This window comes from Homo sapiens, chromosome 8, assembly GCF_000001405.40.
Source record: "Homo sapiens chromosome 8, GRCh38.p14 Primary Assembly".
In the NCBI taxonomy this organism is placed as follows: domain Eukaryota; kingdom Metazoa; phylum Chordata; class Mammalia; order Primates; family Hominidae; genus Homo; species Homo sapiens.
Genome location: NC_000008.11, coordinates 123,176,979 through 123,198,169, shown reverse-complemented (window position 1 = coordinate 123,198,169; position 21,191 = coordinate 123,176,979). Strand labels below are relative to the sequence as shown.

At 49.1% G+C, this 21,191-nt stretch overlaps 1 protein-coding gene, 1 long non-coding RNA gene and 1 other non-coding gene across 9 annotated transcripts in view, besides 1 other annotated feature; 2 read left to right on the top strand and 1 right to left on the bottom strand.

Annotated features, from left to right (window-relative positions):
• Positions 1-19,123, bottom strand: part of FAM83A (family with sequence similarity 83 member A) — a 31,033-nt gene extending 11,910 nt beyond the window's left edge. For 2 of the 7 annotated variants that reach the window (NM_001394396.1, NM_001321630.2), the window contains exons 1-3: positions 14,834-15,505; positions 6,200-6,367; positions 4,022-4,146 (exon numbers count right to left, since the gene is read on the bottom strand). In NM_001394396.1, the coding sequence (NP_001381325.1) occupies positions 4,022-4,146; positions 6,200-6,367; positions 14,834-15,313 (773 nt within the window). In that variant the 5' untranslated portion in view covers positions 15,314-15,505. Of the gene's footprint in view, positions 1-4,021; positions 4,147-6,199; positions 6,368-14,833; positions 16,145-17,940 lie in introns of those variants that run through there. The other 5 variants (NM_207006.3, NM_032899.6, XM_011517338.3 and 2 more) reach the window with 5 other exon arrangements.
• Positions 165-909: an enhancer, noted in NCBI's record as "OCT4-NANOG-H3K27ac-H3K4me1 hESC enhancer chr8:124209501-124210245 (GRCh37/hg19 assembly coordinates)". NCBI's record gives its function as "activates a minimal SCP1, AML or CMV promoter by ChIP-STARR-seq in naive H9 embryonic stem cells {active_cell/tissue: H9 hESC(naive)}" and the evidence as "EXISTENCE:reporter gene assay evidence [ECO:0000049][PMID:30033119]".
• Positions 15,382-17,248, top strand: FAM83A-AS2 (FAM83A antisense RNA 2). The gene is made up of 2 exons (NR_189631.1): positions 15,382-15,643; positions 16,018-17,248. It is a non-coding gene; the product is annotated as an FAM83A antisense RNA 2 (long non-coding RNA).
• On the top strand, positions 17,645-17,860 carry LOC124902101 (small nucleolar RNA U3). The gene has a single exon (XR_007061225.1). It is a non-coding gene; the product is annotated as a small nucleolar RNA U3 (small nucleolar RNA).
• Positions 19,124-21,191: the final 2,068 nt, after the last annotated feature.

Below are 21,191 nucleotides of genomic sequence, written 5' to 3'. Positions count from 1 at the left end.
TGAAGTTCAGATCACTTTATTTATTTATTTATTTATTTTAAGGGAGAGTCTCACTCTGTCACCCAGGCTGGAGTGCAGTGGTGCGATCTCTGCTCACTGCAGCCTACGCCTCCCAGGTTCAAAGTGATTCTCATGCCTCAGCCTCCCCAGCAGCTGGGATTACAGGTGCTTGTCACCATGCCCAGCTAATTTTTGTATTTTTAATAGAGGCAGGGTTTCACCATGTTGGCCAGGCTGGTCTCAAACTACTGACCTCAGGTAATCTACCCGCCTTGGCCTGTCAAAGTGCTGGGATTACAGGCGTGAGCCACTGCACCCGGCCCAGATCACTTTAAAGTGTATCATGTGCTTTGGGGCTACTGAGGAGACAGCTCAGCTGCACCTGTTCTTTGATTTCAAACTGCACCTGTTCTTTGATTTCTTCGGGAATCCTCAGCTATTCTAGCCCTTGGCTCAACCTCCTTCTTCCCTTTAGTGATGCAAAACCTGAGTTCCCCAGGGAAGAATGTGTGCCTTGAAATGGAGTGTCAAGAGCGCTGCAAGAATTCCTCAGCTAATATTCACAATCGCCGAAAGGGGGAAACAACCCAATGTCTATTGATTGGTGACCAGATAAACCAACTGTGGTCCATCCTGTCCATGGAATATTTGCTCAGCCATGAAAAGGGAGAAAGCACTGAAACACGCTACAGCTCGGATGAGCCTGGAAAACGTTATGTTAAGTGAAGGAAGCCAGCCACAAAATGCCACATATTGAATGATAATTCCATTTACATGAGACAGGCACTTACATGGGGACCCTCGGTGCTATGAAGGACATTCCAGACCTCAAGGCAAGCTGGGAAGGAAGGTGTGAACTGCACTTGTGTGAATGTGCCTCCTAAGCCACATTCTCTTTTTTTCCCATAGCCTTGTTCTCCTACCTTCAAATTCTATAACGTTTGAGGACGGAATGACATATTTTAGAGATTCTTCTCTGAAAACTTGCCCCACCCTAGGCCTGAGTGAAGGGCAGCCATGTTTTTGCCACATGCCAAGTTCCCTTCTGCCACCCCTGCCCCAGCCACAGGTAACTGGCTCAGGGGTGGACACCAGACTCAGAGACAGCTCATCCACTGGTGGGTGATCTGGGCTGACAGAATGGTTGGACCAGGGGTGATGGTGGTGGGGGCTGGGCTGGGCAGCCCCAAAGTTTAGGGATGAGGAGGTCAGATTTAACTTATACAATCCATGAGGCAGGAGAGAGAACCAGGAAAAGTAGCTAAACAACAGGCCTGTGGACCCATGAAAGCCAGAGTGAGCAGCTTTTACCCTAGCTTTTCCCAGACTTGGGGAGGCCTGGCAGCCCCTGGTCCTGCCCTTGGCTGTGCCTGAGATTAATTGCCACAGCCTTACAACACCCCCTCCCTTCTGCCTTTACTTAGCCAGTTTAAGTAGATTTTCTGTGCCTTACGGTGAAATAGCCTTGACGAACTTAATAGGAACCAAAATGTCGAAAAACAGTGCAGGAAGGTCCTTGTTGTATTTGGGAAGAGAGGAGAATTATCACACAATTTTGGACTTTGTTTGGAAAATGTGTAAAGTATTTTAAAAACTGAAGGAGTCCCATTAAAAGAAAAGAGTAAAAATATAAATTATTAAGCTTCGTAGCAAGCAGAGAAAAAAAGGAGCTATCTAAAAAAGAAGTAATATGAAAACCTCTCCATTCAACTGCAAACACAAAAGGGGAAAAGCAAAGCAAAGTCAAAATGTAAATATTAGAAATAAATCCAAATACATCAGCAATCACAATAACTAACTGGATTAGACCTATTAAAAGACAGAGATGATAAAACTATACTTTTAAAAACTTTAATGAGGCTGGGAGCGGTGGCTCATGCCTGTAATCCCTGCACTTTGGGGGGCTGAGGTGGGTGGATCATCTGAGGTCAGTAGTTCGAGACCAGTATGGCCATCATGGCAAAACCCCATCTTTACTAAAAATGCAAAAATTAGCCGAGCGTGGTGGCGGGTGCCTGTAATCCCAGCTACAAGGGAGGCTGAGGCAGGAGAATCACTTGAACCTGGGAGGCAGAGGTTGCAGTGAACTGGGATTGCACCACTGCACTCCAGCCTGGGTGACAGAGCGAGACTCCGTCTCAAAAAAACAAAAATTAATGATATGTTGTTCACAAAAGACACACTTAAAATCTATCAGCAAGTTTGAAAATAATGGGATGGAGAGAAAGTTATACTCTGTGCTGTAGACTGAATGTCTGTTTCTGTTCCAGATTCATATTTGAAATCCTAATCCCCAATGTGATGCTATTAGTGTGTAGGGCCTTTGGGGCATAATTAGGTCATGAAGGTAGAACCTTCAGGAATGGGGTTAGTGCCCTTGCAGAAGAGGCCCCAGTGAGCTCCCTCACCTTTTTTTTTTACCATGAAGGGATAAAGATACACTTTCACTGTGTCACACAGTGAAAAGGCAGCAGTCTATGAGACAGAAGGTGGGCCTTCCCCAGGCACTGAATCTGCCCACACCTTGACCTAGGACTTCCCAGCCTTCAGGACTGTGAGTAATGGGTTTCCATTGTTTATAAGCTACCCAGTCTATGGGATTTTATTATAGCAGCCCAAATGGACTAAGACACTGTACAAATTTAAGCCCAAGGAAGACTGGAGGTAGCAATGTTAATATCATTAAAAGTGGAATTTCAGCTAAACGGCACTAATAAGGCTAAAGAAAGATAGCACATTTTAAATGTAGGGGTTTTTCCGCCCTCCCTTCTCTCTTTCCCTTTATGCTCATTTGTCTCTGGCTAGAGATTTGCCAGTTGGCTTCACCTAGCTTTGGAACAGCATTGCGGGCTCCTGCTCCCTGGGGAAAGACTGCATCCTTAACACCCCCTGGAAACCTGCCTTCCACTCCCAGCTTATCCCAATGTTTGTGCTCATATTTCACTGGTCACTACTATGTGTTTGCAGCAGAGGAAGCAAGAAAAGATGTAACCAGTTGCCCTCCTCTGCACTCTCTGTCACACTCATCACCTTCCTAAACAAATGTTCCCAAATGACCTTCGGCTGTTCCTCCCTTCCTCAATTGCTCTCTCATTTCATCCCTCTCACAAAATCCACCATCAAATCCACTTCCCTAGCGCCGCCACTGAGAACATTTCAAAGAATATCTTTTAAGCTCTGAAGTCAAGTTTCAAAGGCAGACTCAGGCAAGGTAGCATTGTTAGAATAAATGGGTGGTCAGTCATTTGGATGTAGGAGTCTATGTGTGAGGGTCTAAACACAAATTGAGGCTGGGCGCAGGGGCTCATGCCTGTAATCCCAACACTTTGGGAGGCTGAGGCTGGTGGGTTGCTTGAGCAAATAATAAAAATTTAAAAAATAAAACGGGGCTGGGTGCAGTGGCTCACGCCTCTAATCTCAGCACTTTGGGAGGCCACATGGGTGGATCACCTGAGGTCAGGAGTTTGAGACCAGCCTGGCCAACATGATGAAACCCCGTCTCTACTAAATATACAAAAATTCGCTGGGCGTGGTGGCGGGTGCCTGCAATCCCAGCTACTTGGGGGGCTGAGGGAGGAGAATCTCTTGAATCCTGGAGGCGGAGGTTGCAATGAGCTGTGATTGCACCACTGCACTCCAGCCTGGGTGACAGGGCGAGACTCCATCTCAAAAAAAAAAAAAAAGCAATGGGATGTGCACACACACAACTAAACAAATTGCATCACTTTATAATCACGTCTAAGATATCCGAGGAGGGAAAAGAAGAGGATTCTACGTCCTATTGCAATATCAAGGGAAACGGAGGCACCTGGAAATGCCTCTCTACCTGGAATTCTTGCCAGAAAGGGTCCACATTTCTTGCCTCTCACCCCATCTATGTGATGCAGCTCCAGCTCCGGGCAGAGGGAGACCTTCTGGGAGCTGCTGGGGGTGTTTGTGTCTGAGCAGCGGGAGCTGGTCTGCACCTCACTCAGCCCTTGTTCTCCATGAATCCTTGACAGGAGATGAATCCAAGGCTCACCTGTAAGATCCAGACAGGACAAATCTCCAGTCCGAGATGATGAACTTCTCCCGGATTTGGCCAGCGAATTTCCTGCCTGACTTGGCACAGTATATCTCTCCTTCCACACTCCGGATGGAAATGTTCTGTTGGAGGGAAAGTCAAGGTGTCACTTCCTAATTCTGTTTATAGAGATACATTTGGGCTTTAGGCTGGATGTTTATGTTCCCTTTACCCCCATTCTGTGTTGAAACCTAATCCCCAGGGTGACGGTACTAGAAGGTGGGGCCTTTGGGAGGAGATTAGGTCATGAAGATGGAGTGCTCATGAATGGGAGGAGTGCCTTATAAAGGAGGCCTAGAGATCTGCCTCACTCCTTCTGCCATGTGAGGACACAGCAAGAAGACAGCCATTTATAAGCCAGGAAGTGGGCTTCACCAGACGCCGAATCTGCCAGAACGTTGATCTTGGAGTTCCCAGCCTCTAGAACCATGAGGAATAAATTTCTGTTGTTATGAACCACCAGTCTATGGACTTCTGTTATAGCAGCTGTGATGGACTAAGACAATTTGTGCATGAAAATGTCTGGTAGAATGTTCATCAAGATGGAAATGTGTTATCTCTGGTTGGTGGGATTCTGGACCATATTAATATTTTCCCTGGGCTGAATTGTCTAAATTGTCTTCACTGTCCTGGCATCAGCTGGCAACAAAAAAAAAGGAAGGTGGTAGAATTCAAATAAGGCAGCAAATAAAAGAAAAGCAAGGGCCTAATGCCTATGGAGCCCCGAGTCTAGGCCCCCATGAGCCACAGGTGGCCTGGCAGTTACTTGGAGGCAAGCCCAGCCCTGCCTTGTAAGTGGCTTGACCTGAGTCCCTGACCCTAAGCTGTTCAGAGGGAAGGCTCGGTGCAGCCAGAGGAGGTGGTTTTGTGGAGGTAGCAATAGACCCTGTATTGTCTTAAGCAAAGGTGAGTCTGCAACCCTACCATGGCTCTATTTATCCCTTGTCTTCCCTGTAGCACCTGCTGCTCCCGCCGTACAGCTGGAAGGCTGGAGAAATGGAAGAGTGGGTAAAGTGTGGGAGTCTCAGGGTTAAGGCTGAGGGAGGTGGAATACTGTCTGGATTCCTCAAAAGACTGCTGGTGGCTTGGCAGGTCCTGGGAAGGGCAGTCCTGCCTCCAGCCGCTTCCCCTGGGCTTCTCCATAGCTCTGTGAGATCTTGAGAGGAGGGACACCATTGTCCTATGGTGAGCAGAGTACTGTCAGGTGTGGCCAGCATAGGCCATGAAAGCAAGGCCAGTTCTGACACTTCTGACCTGTTTCAATGGCCTCGTGCCAAGGAGGTATGATCTACGTCATGCCAAACAGACCAGCAGCCAGAGGTCCCAAGGCCTGTGGCAGCAGGAGGCAGCACTGAACTCAGCTGCATCTGTGCAGAGGGGAAGGGAGGGAGGGAGGAGGCTTCATTCTTATCTGGGAGGTTCTCCCAGAGGACAGAACCTCTCTTGCCTGAACTAGAGGAGACTGATCAAAAGAACTCTGAGGGCCACCAATCAGCTGTTCACCCAGGCCTACTCATGAAAGCTATGGGTGGTGTTCACATTTGAATTAGTTGTCCTCAAATTTATGTGATGAATCAAACCCTTATCGCTGGGTTTCTTTTCTCTTTGCCAGGAGAGGGAAGTACGGGGTTCAGTTAAGTCCAAGAGGATCAATGTCTTGTTGGGACCAGGGAGTTCTGAACATGCACCCACAGACCCTGGAGGTTGCCTGCCCTGTAAGATGCAATCCCTGGGCTTCCCCAGCTGAGAGGAGAACTGGAGTACATGGCAGAGATGCTGCTCACCAGATACCCATGACCCTTTACATTTCCCAGCATCCGTGCATCTGGGTAAGGTCAATGAGTTATAAGAGAAAGCGATGGAAATCTCCTCCAGGTCAGATCCTGGAAACATCCTGCAGAGTCTCCCAGCCTTCTCTTTCCCTGTCATGGTTATCTTAGAGGCCGTGTATTTCTCATGATGTAGCTACAATATGGAGGAGGGCCATCTGACCTACATAGGAGTTTGTTTGAGCAAGAAATGAACCTTTATTGTGTTAAGCTATTAACACAAGATGAGGGACATTTGTTACTATTGCATAGACTATCCTATCTGGGCTAATATGAGTACCCTTAGGACTCTCATTGGGGCCCCTACCTTGAGGTGACTGTCAGAGATCTGGACTTTGTCACACATCTCCTGGAAGAGCTTCACACCTCCCTGGTCCAGGAGCACACAAACGAACACCCCACGCTTGTTGGCTGCCTCTAGAATGTCACAGAAGATCTCCACATCCGTGAACACATCCATCAGGATGACCAGGACCTGGGCCAGGGCAGAGTGCTCAGTTACCAGAAAGGTCAGGGGCAGGTGCTAACTGGTTTCACCCAAACTGCCTGAGTCCCAGTGGGCCTGGGAGAGCTGTTCCCATTGGGCCAGAGGGGAGAGGATGGGGTAGAGTGGGTCTGACTGGGCAGGATTAATGGAAGGAAAAGGAAGAGCTGGAGTGGAGGCCCCTGCGCCTGTCCTGATACCATCTCTCCAGTCCCACCACCTATCTGTTGGCCCCTATGCCCATTGTGGGAGTGGGGAGTGCAGAGGAGGAAGGGAAAAGTCTAGAAAGAGAAGGAGAGCAGAGAAGAACAAGAAGAAGCATCTCAACCGGTTCCAGAAGAGGAATAAAGTTAAGGTTATGGATTCTCAGCCACTTGGAGCTAGAGGGCACACTATGGCCACTGATTTTCAAATGCTGTTAAGCCGTGGAATCCTATCCTCAAACAAAATCCCATGTGGAGGCACCGTATATAAGCGCCTAGAGCAAGCTGCTCCCCGTGGGATGGAGAAGGGAGTCACGCTCTACCCACAGCTACTGCATCATGTGTCACAGTAGAAACTGGGGAGGGGAGTTCTAGACCTTCAGTGAGCAGGAGAGACATCTGTGTTCCTCCTGCCAAGCATTCATTCTCCCTTCTTCTGTCAACAGCATCCCAATCTGACTTTAAGTAATTGCCTCCCCTCCACAATCAATGTGGTTTGGAAGGGTCTATTGCCATTCTTTGACTGGATATGGGGAGACCACATGACCAAGGCTAGACCAATGGGAGCATGGCATCCCCTGTTGGCCACAGACATTGGTCCAGAGGTGGTCACATGATCTAAGTTATTCTAATAAGAGTCAGCCCAGGACTTTAGCTGGGACTCCTGGGAAAAGGAGGTGTTCTTTCTACGAGGTTGCTTAGCTGGTATTTTATAAGCAATGGCTGCTGGCAACCATTTTTGCTACCTCTTGGGGAGAGCCTGCCTGACAATGAAGCCATCCCTGGAGAAAGCAGCCAGGAGGTAGAGACAGAGTCCCAGCATTGTCATTTGGACACCTGGTTCCAGCCATGCCTGAGACCAGTGCCACCCTTGACTTTTCCACTGTGGATGTTAATGAATGTTTCTCTTCTTCTTAAGCTTGTTTGGGTTTACTCTCTGTCACCCAGTCATGAGTCCTTTCTAATACCTTAATTGTGATATACTGACAAGCAGCTTATTAGGCAGTCATTAAAAATGTTAATTACTGCCGGGCGCGGTGGCTCACGCCTGTAATACCAACACTTTGGGAGGCCGAGGCGGGCGGATCATTTGAGATCTGGAGCTCGAGACCAGCCTGATCAACATGGTGAAAGCTCGTCTCTACTAAAAAAAAAAAAAAAAATTAGCTGGACTGGTAGTGCACGCCTATAGTCCCAGCTACTGGGGAGGCTGAGGCAAGAGAATCGCTTGAACCCAGGAGGCAGAGGTTGCAGTGAGCCGAGATCGCACCACTGCACTCCAGCCTGGGTGACAGAAAGAGACTCTGTCTCAAAATAAAAAAATAAGAAAATACATAAAAATTTAAAATGTTAATTTTCTTTCTTTCTTTCTTCTTTCTTTCTTTCTTTTCTTTCTTTTCTTCCTCTCTCTCTTTCATTTTTTTTCTGTAGACATGGGGTTTCACTATGTTGCCCAGGCTGGTCTCGAACTGTTGGGCTTAAGCAATCCTTAAGCCTCAGCCTCCCAAATTGCTGGGATTACAGGAGTGAGCCACCCCACCTGCTCCATTATAATCTTATGGGAGCACTGTCATAGATGTGGTCTGTTAGTAACCAAAATGTCATTATTCCGTACATGATTGTAGGTAAGCCCAAAGCAAAAACTAACAGTCATGTTAGGATGGGGGATGTGAACCCAGAAAATAAAACAGGGCTCAGTTAATTTAGAAAGTTTATTTTGCCAAGGTTGAGGACATGCCCGAGGAAGTCCTGACGACATGTGCCCAAGGTGGTCGGGGCACAGCTTGATTTTATACATTTTAGGGAGACATGAGACATCAATTAATAGATGTAAGAAGTACTTTGGTTCAATCTGGAAAGGTGGGACAACTGGAAGCAAAGGCAGGAAGACTCAAAGCCAGGAGGGAGCATCCAGGCCACAGATAAGTAAGACAAAAACTGTTGCATTCTTTTGAGTTTCTGATTAGTCTTTCCAAAGGAGGCATCAGATATGCATCTATCTCAGTGAGCAGAGCGGTGACTTTGAATAGAATGGGAGGCAGGTTTGCCCTAAGCAGTTTCCAGCTTGAGTTTTCCTTAGTGATTTTGGGGGCCAAAGATACTTTCCTTTCACAGGGAATACGGCCATTCCCTTTCTTCAAGATTACCTGTAATAATAAGTTTCCACTATCTTTCTAATCATTGCAATATATTTTTTAAAACCACCGCCATCTGGGAAGTAGCCAAGGAAAGAGAGGTGTCTTACTGGCAGGCCAAACTGATGGCTGGTATCCACTTGGAATCAACTTTCTGTGATGTGGATGGATAGCTGGACAGGGGAGGGAACTCCTCAGAGATTGCTCACCCTGGGCAGGAAATCGGAAAAGATGTTCTAATAATGAGGCTGTGATCATTAGAACCATGGCCCTGTAATCACACAATTAATTGTCTTGCACACATTTAGCCTTATAGCACTGAAAGCAGCTTAGGCTTTCCCTGTTTGCTGAAAGATAAATGCCTCCTCTTCCAAGGTATTGACAAAAGAAACAATTCCCTCCCTCCCTGATAGGTCAGTAAGTACTTCCAGTTCTATGCCAATGAATCATCATTTTCCTGAGACAGGGCTGGTGAGCTGGTGATTGAACAGAGACAGGGGCAGGTTTGGAAATAACCCAGCATCTTGAATTAAAGGATGCTTGGAAATACAGGCTCACCCTGTCTAGGTTTATCTTGTTTGCTTCCTGTTGGGATTGTCTTCCAGCTGGATTAATTTGAAGCCAGTAACTGGTTTGGACCACTGTTCTTCCTAAGAAGGTATAGTGGGTTGAAGGCCAGGCACGGTGGCTTATGCCTATAATCCCAGCGCTTTGGGAGGCCGAGGCTGGTGTATTGCTTGAGGCCAAGAGTTTGAAACCAACCTGGGCAACTTGGCGAAACCCCATCTCTACTAAAAATACAAAATCAACTCAGTGTGGTGGCGCACGCCTGTAATCCCGGCTACTTGGGAGGCTGGGGCAGGAGAATCGCTTGAACCTGGGAGGCAGAGGTTGCAGTGAGCCGACATCTCACCACCGCACTCCAGCCTGGGTGACAGAGCAAGACCCTGTTTCAAAAAAAAAAAAAGTAAGAAAGAAAAAGAAACGAAAAAAGAAAAAGAAGGTGCATTGAATGGTGTCTCCTCAAAAGATACGTCCAACCCTAAACACCAGAATTGTGCATATGACCTCATTTGGAAAAAGCTTCTTTGCAGATGTAATTCAGTAAAGGATCTCAAGATGATCATCCTGGGTTATCTGGTGGGCTCTAAATCCGATGATACATGTCCTTATGAGAGATATCAGAAAGAAGCACCGAGAGAAGAGGAGAAAGCCGTCGTGTGAAGCCTAAAGCAGAGATTGGAGCGATGCGGCCATGAACCAGGAATGCCTGGAGCTACCAGAAGCGTGCAGTGGCTCATGCCTGTAATCCCAGCACTTTGGGAGGCCGAGGTGGGCAGATCACTTGAGGTCAGGAGTTCGAGACCAGCCTGGCCAACATGGTGAAACCCCATCTCTACTAAAAAAAAAAATAATAATAATACAAAAGTTAGCTGGGGTGGTGGCATGCGCCTGTAATCCCAGCTACTTGGGAGGCTGAGGCACAAGAATTGCTTGAACCTGGGAGGCGGAGGTTGTAGTGAGCTGAGATCGCGCCATTGCACTCCAGCCTGGGCAACAGAGCGAGACTCAGTCTCAGAAAAATAAAAAATAAAAAAATAAAAAATAAAAATAAAAGAGCAATAATTCCAGCCCCTAGTTTCCCTGCCAGGAACATCATCCTGCCTCGTCCCCACTTCACTTTCTCCACTGGCCCTGACTTGCCTGAAAAACTCCCTGTCCATTTTGTGTCAGGACCCCCTTCCACTCTAAAAATTATTGTTGATCTCAAAGAGCTTTTGTTCGTGTGGGTTACAGCTATTGGTGTTTGCCATATTAGAAACTAAAACTGAATAGTTTTTGAAATAGTTCTTTACTATTAATAGTTATTTTAAAATATCAGTAATAAGCCCATCGTATGTTAACATAAAATAACAATTTTAATGAAAAAGAAATGCATTTTCCAAAACAATAACAAAAATGTGGTGAGCAGGGCGGCACTGTTTTGCGTTTTTGCAAATCTCTGATGTCCGCACCTTCACCTGGTCAGAGCCGCTTCTGCGTGAATCTGCTGCGAAGGGTTGTCTGGGAGGAAGTGGATGGGAATAATCCAGCCCCACATGGGATAAGTGGTTCGAAAGGGCAGGGTCTTACGGCCGCTGAAAGGGCCCCAGGGACCTCAGGGATCCCCCACACCATGCTTTGGGAACCGCTGCTCTCAGTCTTTGGCTCTGGCCCCGACAGCCTCTATTCCTGTCTTCACCCTTTATCACATCCCCAAGCTCTGGTCCCATCACCTCCAAGACACATGGGCCCTCTCAAACCTCCTGACTTTCGCATGTGACCCTCCTTAGGCCTGGAATTCCTTTCCCTTCCTTCTCTGCCCAGCAAACGCTTACTCAGCCTTTGAGACTCTACTCCGAGACCACCTCTTCCGTGAAGCCTGCCCTAATCCCTTCCTCCACTTCCAGGCACCGAGGGTTGCCCAAGCCTGGGACTGCCATCGTCTAATTCTTTCTCCTCTCTCCTAAGGAGCAGGTGGTTGGCAGGGAGCTCCCCAGAGGGAAGGATCCCTCTTGGTCCACTCTGCCGTCCTGGGTGTGGGGGCACATTAGGCTTTGTGGAATAAGGGAAGTGTTTTTTTGAGACAGAGTAATCTTGCTCTGTTGCCCAGGCTGGAGTGCAGTGGCACCATCTTGGCTCACTGCAGCCTCCGCCTCCCAGGTTCAAGCGATTCTCCTGATTCAGTCTCCTGAGTAGCTGGGATTACAGACATCTGCCACCACACCGAGCTAATTTTTGTATTTTTAGTAGGGACGGGGTTTCACCATCTTGGCCAGGCTGGTCTTGAACTCCTGACCTCAGGAGATCCACCTGCCTCAGCCTCCCAAAGTGCTGAGATTACAGGTGAGAGCCACCGTGCCCAGCCTGGAATAAAGGAATTTGGGCATGAAGGGAAGGAAAGAGAATTCCTGCTTCTTCCAGAGCTGAAACTGCTCCAGGAAACATCTCTCATGCTGGGACTCTCAGTTGGTTCCCTTCCGGCTCCGCTCGGGGGCTGAGGCTTAGGAGAGGGAGAATTCAAATATATTTCCCCACTCTCTCCTATTCTTCTCATCACCTACTTCCAAGGACAGCCTAGGCTGAGGCTCCAGCTCCCCAGCTGTGTCTATGGGAACTGGCTGTCCCTGAGTCCCTGCACGTGGGGGGGTGTGTAGGTGCATTTGTGTGCATTCGTGTGTGTGTTTGTGTGTGCATATGTGCATGTGTGTGTGACAGGGACATCACAAACCCTTCCTTCCACTCTTAAAAATTATTGGTGATCTCAAAGAGCTTTTCTTCATGTGGATTATAGCTATTTATGTTTGCCATATTAGAAACTATAACTGGCCAGGCACGGTGGCTCATGCCTGTAATCCCAGCACTTTGGGAGGCCGAGGTGGGTGGATCATGAGGTCAGGAGTTCAAGACCAGCCTGGCCAACATGGTGAAACCCCATCTCTACTAAAAATACAAAAATTAGCCTGGTGCGGTGGCAGGTACCTTTAATCCCAGCTACTCGGGAGGCTGAGGCAGGAGAATCGCTTGAATCTGGGGGGCAGAGGTTGCAGTGAGCCAAGATCGAGCCAACGCACTCCAGCCTGGGCGACAGAGTGAGACTCCGTCTCAAAATGAAATTAAAACTGTGAATTGTTTGAAATAGTTCTTTATTATTAATAGAGTGCCTGTTAACCAATAATTATAACCAATTAATTATTATTGGGTGCCTGGCAGACACCCAAACGGGTGAACCCCTGAGGGTCCCAGGACAACAGGGAATGGTGGGGACTGTGGCAAAGGGGACCCACCCAACGAAGCAGCCAAACTCCATGCCAGCAGAGCCCACCTGCTAAGAGGAGCTGGAAGTTCTAACTTTCAGGTGAAATCTTCAGATTTTTAAGTGTTGTCCTAAGTTCGTAACACGCTGTGTTGGTCCAAAGGACATCAGCGGTGTCAGGGTCCTAGAGGTGGATGCAGAAGCCTCACTGGGTGTGGAGTGGGGAGGAGAGGGACTCAGCCAGGGGACTGTGTTTTACAAGCCCTAACCAGGCTTCCTTCCAGGGATCCTTCCTCACCCTTCGAGCAGCTGCGATTGACAATTTCCCCCAACAGCATTGGTCCCCACCCCTCGGGAGAGCACTGAACTTCATGCGGAAAGACCAGAACTGGCACACTCAGGAACAGGCCTTTGGAGCCTGGAGGGACTTTAGTCCGGCATAGGAGCTGAGCCCTAAGGAGTCCAGGGACTTGCCTGAGGGGATACAGCCAGCGCCGGGCCACAAAGGCAGCGTGGGCACTCCTGGCCGCTTGCCTGGATGCATCCTCAAATGCCGCCCTGCCACAGAAACATGAAATACTGCTCCAAGCAGCCCAGCCACACTAAAAGCCAATGCCCCACCTGTTGTTACCTTCGACTAAATTTTCCAGAACTCTGCTCCCTCCCTCCTCCTCCACACATGGCCTCTTCACCCTTGGATGGTTTATCTGGAAGCTTAAGATTTCACACGGTATTGAACTTGGGAGGGAATTCAGTTATGAGACTGGGACCCTAGCAAAAAACCAACCCAAACATCAGCATGTTCTTTTATGACTTCTTCTAAGTGTAACAAAATAAATAATTTGAATGAGAGAGAGGGAGAGAGGGAGACAGAGAGGATTTTACAGATGATGAATGTTTTTCCTTGGGGTCCATTCTCCCCTGCCCCTCTGCAGCAGCAGGAGTGAGGTGTGGGCACCCACAGCCTGGTGCTGGAGTCATTTTGTGCACCTGGGGTTGAACAAGACCCCTGAGCTCAAGTCCCTTCACTTGTCTCCGGCTGACAGCAGGATATCACTTGAGGGTGGAGATCTCGGGGCATTGGGAGAACTCCTGATCCAGCTCTCACGGTGCCTGAAATCCTACCAGCCCAGCTCTGGGCTTGAAGGGTTTTTCTCTTCTATCTAAAGATACTTATCAAAGTGTGAATATTCTGGGGAGAGAGAAACCCCCTCTGCTGCCTACTCCATCTTCTGCCTGGCCACTGGCTGGATTCAAGAGCCACAAGGTCATCTGTGGGCAGACAGGTCTTAGCAGAGTCTGAGAGGAGAAGGGGCAAAGGTGAGCCCAGCGGAGTGGCCCCGTTACATTTGGAAGCGCAGAGGTGGGCACCTAACACAGCCTGGGGAATTCAGGAAAGGTTTTCTGGGGAAGAGGCTTTCATGCTGGGTCCTGAAGCAGGAGTAGGTGTGTATCAAATGAAAAGCAGGGCAGGCAAGCATGGCCAGGCAGAGGGAACAGCACACGCAAAGGCCCAAAGACAAGCTCTACAGGGCACTTGGTATGGAGCAGGAGGAGGTGGAAGCCATGCTAAGGAGTTTGTTCTTCCCATTATGGGCAACTGGGAGCTACCGAAGGCTCTAAGCAGGGAAAAGACCAAATTAGATTTGTCGTACAGAAAAGGTTGCAGGGCACTGGGGCTCACACCTGTAATCCCAGCATTTTGGGAGGCTGAGGTGGGCAGATCACCTAAGGTCAGGAGTTCAAAACCAGCCTGGCCAACATGGTGAAACCTCTTCTCTACTAAAAATACAAAAATCAACTGGGCGTGGTGGCATGCGCCTGTAATCCCAGCTACTCAAGAGGCTGAAGCAGGAGAATCGCTTGAACCCGGGAGTTGGAGGTTGCAGTGACCCGAGATAGTGCCACTACACTCCAGCTTGGGCAACAGAGCAAGAAGAGCAAGACTCTGTCTCAAAAAAAAAGAAAAAAAAAAAGAAAGAAAAAAAGAAAAGAAAAAAAAGAAAAAAAAAGAAAGAGAGGAAAAGCCACTTTACTGCAGTATGGAGACTGTGACGCTGGGGATCAAAATGGAAGAGGGGGCCAGGCAGGAAGCGATTGCGGGAGTTCCAGTGATAAGTGTTGGTGGCCTGGACCCTGGCTGTGACAGGTGGGATCAGGAGGTCAGTGGTCCAGGGCAAGGCGGACAGCAAAGCCCCTCCATCCGAAGCCCCAATTATCTGGACTCTCGCCCTGGGAGCAAAATGCACCCCCCTCCCTGCTCTATCAGCCCCCGATCCTCCCTGCTACTTGGCCACGGAGACAGGGGCTTTGCCATCGGTACCTGGCTAGTCCGGGTGATGCAGCGGCGGACGAGGTCTCTGATGTTGTTGTGCTTGACGGTCTGGAAGTACACAGTGGCGCTGGATTTTTCCTTCAGGTAGGGCTTCTCAGCTGAGGCCCAGCTGTGCAGTAGGGCCGGCTCGCTGCCCTCTGAGGCCACAGGGAAGTAGGTGCCGGACTGTAGGGAGCTGGAGTCCAGTCCCTTAGGGCCTGCTTCCGCCCCTCCCAGGGTGTCTGGGGGACACGGGGGCTCCCTGGCCTGGGCCTGGATGTACTGGGCCTCCACCGAGGACAAGAAGTCCACCTCGCCTTCCTGGCTGAGCACCCGCCAGTAGGCTTCAGAACCCCCATCCAAGAGGGCGTCCGTGGCCAGCCGGGCACTCTCGTTGTCACTAAAGTCAGCCCTGGCTGGCCGGACCCACTGGCTCTTGACATCTTCCAGACGCTTCCGGATTTTGCCCAGGTGCCTTGACCGGCTCATGCCTCCCGTCCCTGGGTGGTGCTGGGGGAGGCTGGCACGTCAGCTCCTCCAGATGTGGGAAGCAAATGGAACACACCACGGAGGAGTGGGGCTCCCGCACCCCCGGGAGGCCGCCTGCTCCCAGGACCGGCGTGCAGGGCACCTCCAAGAAGTGATTTACCGCTGTCCTGAGCAATGCTTCTCAGAACTCCTCATCTGCAGCTGCGGGATTGGCTTATCTCTCAGGGCCACCTGCCCTGCCCTCGGGCCGGGAGGGCTGGCTCAGACACCTCCTTGGCACAGTCAGCCATGGGATATTTCCTCTCCTCCCAGCCGCAGGGGGAGGCGAAGGTGAGCCGGCTTTCCTGCTGGGTTTCGCAACTCTCCCTCAGGCCTTTGTTACCAAGCAGGGAGCCTCCCTGGCACCACCAGCCCAGCTGGAGGATGGGCCTGAAGGAGGCCTGCCTGCCTCTGCTCCCCTCCTGGGTGCCTCGATTCCCATGCTGTTTCAAAGATAAGAATTTCCCTGTGGGGGGGAAAGATGCCATCCCTGAGATGCGCCCCCCTCTCTGTGTGAGGAGGGAGCTGGACACGGGCCAGGGAGAGCTGTTGACCAGGCGCGCCTCCTCTCCTTGGTCACACCCAAGTGCCCACCCCTCCCTGCCCTATGAAGGAGCTCCTTTCTCCCATGCCCTCTCAAGTGTTTGTCATTGTCGTGTTTGCAGAGACCGCAGAGGTTCCAGTTCTCAGGCCAACGCTTCCTCGCTGGAAGTGGCTTCTTGGAACACTGTCTGGAGAACGAGCCGAGGCTGCCGGCGGCCCACGAGCCCAGGGGACCAGTCAGTGTTGGCGCTGGAGTGAGAGGAGCAGCACGTGGGTTTGAAATCTATGAACTCTGAGGGGAGTGACCACGTGTTCTTTCCAGATCAGATCGTGATCTGGCAATGGGATGGACTGCCTAGAACCCTGACTCTCTTTGGGTGGGCTCTGCTGGAAACAGGCTCTGAGACTAGGATTTCAGTACAAGTGGTTGGTCGGAAGATCATTCTGAGAAGTACAGAGAGAAGTGGGGAAGAGAAACGGGAAGGGAAGGAAGCCAGGCCAGGTGAAGTTGAGGAGCAGGCCACTGCTGTGGACATCTGGGTTCATGGACATCTCTGGGGACATCAGGGGGTTCCAGCCTGTGGGAACCTCTGGGTGATGGTGCCAAATATATCTCAAGGTTTTCCTGCCCAAAGGGTGAGAAAGCTGCGGAGTTTATCTAAGGAGTCCTAGTTATCATTGGCTGAGGGCTGCTCCCGGGGCCAGTTCACCAAGCACAGCCCTGAACCCAGAGAAAGCCTTCAGGCAGTGTCAGGTGCTACAGGCAGAGTGCTGTGGGAGTGGTGAGGAGCGAATAAATGAAAGTAAAGAAATGAAAGCAAGGCCCTGACGCTATCTGCTCAGGGACGACACCAAGAAATCAGGATTGTGTGGTCTTCAAAGAGCCAGGATATGGTAAGAACCTGATGTCTGTCAGTGGCAGAGCCATTCTTTGGAGAAAAACAGCTATGAACACCTGTAACCCTACTGTAGCTGTGGCCCTTGTGCCTGAACCCAGCAGTACCACAGTATTTTTTAAAGTGTGGCGCGGCTGGGTGCAGTGACTCACACCTGTAATCCCAGCACTTTGGGAGGCCAAGGCAGGTGGATCACTTGAGGTCAGGAGTTCAAGACCAGCCTGGCCAACATGATGAAACACTGTCGCTACTAAAAATACAAAAATTAGCCGGGCCTGGTGGTATGCGCCTGTAGTCCCAGCTACTGGGGCAGGAGATCAGGCAGGAGAATTGCTTCAACCCAGGAGGCAGAGGCTGCAATGAGCCAAGATCGCACCATTGCACTGTAGCCTGGGCAACAGAGCGAAACTCTGTCTCAAAAAATAAAATAATAAAATAAAATAATATAAAATAAAAGGAATCTCTCTCTTTCTCTTTTTTTTTTTGGAACATCGAAGGAATCCAATTCACAATCTTGAGCAATCCTCTCTTTATTCCATTTTATCTCCTCCCTACAATCCCTGGAGGTCAAAGAGGACAAATCCAATAAACCCTCTCTCCCATTGCCTTTTTGGATCTATGCCTTTTCCCTTCTGCCTTTTGCCAACTCTTGCTTCTGGAGATTGATGTAAGCCCCTTTCCCGCATCCTCCTCTCATCTTCCTTCCTCTCTGGTCTGGTCTGTGTCCTCCTCAGGCCATTCTCTGTTCCTGCATCACCCAAGTCCTGTCCCTAGTCTAGCGAGATAGACCGGGGGCAGGGCAGTGGTCCATGGATTTGCTCGGCTTCACTCCATGGCTCCGAAGCTGTCCATAGAGACTATACTCTCAGTGACCAGTTCCTGAGTTCATTACTAGAGAAGTTTCTCTGAACGTGTAGAGCACGGGGAGCCAGGAGGGGAAGGTGAGCGTTTTCTCCTGAGCATGAGGTGGCTTTAGATATTGCTTCATGGCAATTTGGCAACTGCCATGTGCCATTGAAGATGGTTGTTATCTTCCTCTGGAAGAGGAAGAGGACACAGTCTGAGTGGTTCCCATTTATGTTATTTTTTTTTTAAGTTGTCAATGGCTCCCCATTGCCTGTTAAACTAAGTACCAAGTCTTGAGCCTACCTGAGAAACTGCACAAAATGGTCCCACATGTTCATTCCAGCATGGCTTCTCCCATACTTGGCCATCGCTGAGTGCTCACTGCATGCTGGCTGTCTGTACTGAGGGAGAAATGGATTATTAGTCCTCATTTCACCAAAGAGGAAACCGAGGCTCAGAAAGGTCAAGTTACTTGCCCAAGATCACTTAGCTGGTAAATGGCAGAGCCCATGTACTTTCCACCATTCCAAGCTTCACTTTTTTCTTTCCCATTCCCCTTCCCTTTCTACTCACAGCGCATTACAGATCCTCTGATTGGTTCCTGAATATGCATAGGGGAGAATTTTAAAAGTAGGTGGGTATTCTGGGGTTCTCCTTTCACCTGGAACTAATTCTCTTTCTTGGTTGAATAAATGCTTGAGTGTCTCCCTGAGACAGAGGTGAGTATCCTGTAGGGACCATTTTCTCCTTGTCTTCTCACAGAGCAGCTCTTTAAAACAAAACAAAAAAAAGGAATCCGAAAGAAACTTTTCCCTCTAGAGCCCTGCTTCTGTTCCCAGCTCTTGGTCTTCACACAGACCCAGAGATTCTAGTTGAATCCTGTAGAACAGTGAGCAAACACACCGTACATGTTAGTGCCACTCATCCTCCTTCCCTGGCAGACATTACTAGTTGATCATAGGATTCTGCCAGTGAGCTGGGAACTGTTCTGTTGCCACTCTTTATAGGGATTATCTTAGTCCATTTATGCTGCTCTAACAGGATGCCACAGACTGGGTGATTTATAATGAACAGAAATTTATTTGGCTCATGGTTCTGGGGGCTGAGAAGTCCAAAAGCATGGTGCCAGTATCTGGTAAGACCTTCTGCACTGTGCATCCCATACTGTATGGCAGAAGAAAGAGAGAGAAGGAAGGGGCCGAACTCATTTTAACAAACCCGCTCCCATGATAATGACATTAATCTCATGAATACATGAGGGCAGAATACTCATGGCCTAATTACTTCTCATTAGGCCCCACCTCCCAACACTTTTGCACTGGGGATCAAGCTTCCAACACATGAACTTTAGGAGACACATTCAAACCATAGCAGTGATCAAAGAGAAGTCCTCACCTGAAGGAATGTTGAAGGTACTGCAAGCTCTTCAGTTACTGATGAGAAAACTGTAGCCCAGAAAGAGGAAGTGACTGTTCTCCAAGTCATCAAACTGGTTGGTGATTCTCATCAGTTTAGTCTCTCATCTTTCCTCGGCAGCCCAGCCCTGTGAAGTGTCCTCGTTCTTGCCGGCTGTAATAACAAACTTCCCCACCTAGGATTACACTTCTGAACCAGGAAGTCTGGCCAGCTGTTGAACTGCACGTTCATACCTTGAAAAATCCTTATCAAGGAGCCCTCAGTGACAGGCACTGTGGATTATGGAGGACTCCACTTCCCTTCTTCCTTCCTGTGGCCATCTGAAGTGTGGTTGTCTCCTTTTCATGAGGTCATCCAACAATAAGAGAAAGGATGAGAAGCCGGGCTCCTGTTAATAAATGAGTGGCATTGGGGCTTCCTGAAAATTCCATTTATCTAGGACAGTGGCACTCAGCTGGAGATGATTTTGGACCCCCATCCAGGGGACATCAGGCAACATCTGTAGCCATTTTTGGTTGTCATTCTGGGGGCCTGGGTTGCTAACTGGCATTAGTGAGAATAAGCCAGGGGTGTTGCTACAACCAACAACGCACTGGAAAGTCCCCCACAATACAGAGCTGCCTGGCCCAAAACACCTGCAGCGCTGAGGCTGAGGAACACACTCACAGGTGACGGGCCCTCACCCGGTGACTGATGTGGGGATCCCAGTCCCCTGCCATTGTTCAGTCTGTTCTCCAGTCTTTCCTTCCACCATCATAACTTATTCAAATCTTTCCCAGCGTTCAAGGTCTATATCCTGAATCCGACCTATGCTGGGAAGCCCTCGTGGTGAATTACCAAGTGACTGTAACTACTCCTCTTCTGGTCCGCAAGGCGCTTGTAGAATATGTCTCAGGGAGTCTTGTCCTGGTTACTGGTGTATTACCCCATCTCCCACTGCTTCTAATTCCTTGAGCAGTGCAACAGCAAAAGGCTTACATGAACTTTGAGTTGGGCACAACTGTGTCCAGACTGTGCCTATGATAGGGGACCTCAGGAAGGTAACATAGAGGACCTTACTGAACTTCACTTTCCTCATCCCTATAGTAACATTTGTGGGGCACGTCCCATGTGTGTGCGGTGGTGTCCTATGTGCTTTTCATGTGTTAACTCACTTCAGCCTCACGACAACCCTGTGAGTAAGTGCTACCAGCATTCCGTTTCATGGATGAAGGAAATAAGGCACAGCGGTAACCTCAAAGGACGTGAGATCTTAGGGCGCTGCACTGGGTGGTCAGTGAACCAACCTTGTCCAGTTTCTGCTTGGCTCTTTAGCTGGAGAGAGTGCCAATGTTTCTGAGCTTTCTACATCATTGATATTGTACTCTCTGTGCAATTTTATATATTTTGCCTTCTTTTTTGCTTAGCATTACTCAGAAGTGTATTTTCCATGTCATTAAAAGTGTGCACGCTTCCCTGCTCCACACCTCCCCTCTCTTTTCTTCTGGAACAATTCAGTCCTAAAGCCACTGGGTGGGTCAGAGCAAGATGGGTGTCAGTGGTGGGAATGGGCTTGGTGGCTCAGAGCATGTGTCGGAGCCCAGGCCAGGTGAGGAGGTGCAGGGGGCTGAGGGGTTGAGGGAATGCCTGCACAGGGTGTGAGGGTGTGTCCTCACAGGGGCCAGTCAGAGCCCAAACAGGGCAAAGAGGGTGTCCATGTGGGCAGGGGAGCTGCCTGTAAGGGGTGTCAGAGCTCTAGCTGGAGGAGGTGGGGAAAGGTGGGAGATTGGTTACATACAGGAGCATTGAGCAAATAAAGAGATTAAAGGTAAGGGAAACCAGGTTTCTTATTGTCAGAGCAGGGAGCATGTAGAGAAAAGGGGGAAACTGAAATGGACTTATTAGATATGAATTGGAGACACAGATTTGAACTCACAGCTTTCAATACAGATAGATAAACTTAGATAAAAAATAAATCTGAATATATAATATATATTATAAATGAATAGAATATAAATACAGAAAACAAATTCTAGAAATATATATACATATACGTGTTTATATATATACACACACACATATCTCTGTGTGTGTGTGTGTGTGTGTGTATATATATATATATTCTCCTGTTCTGTCTGCTAACAGCGATGCTCAGACTG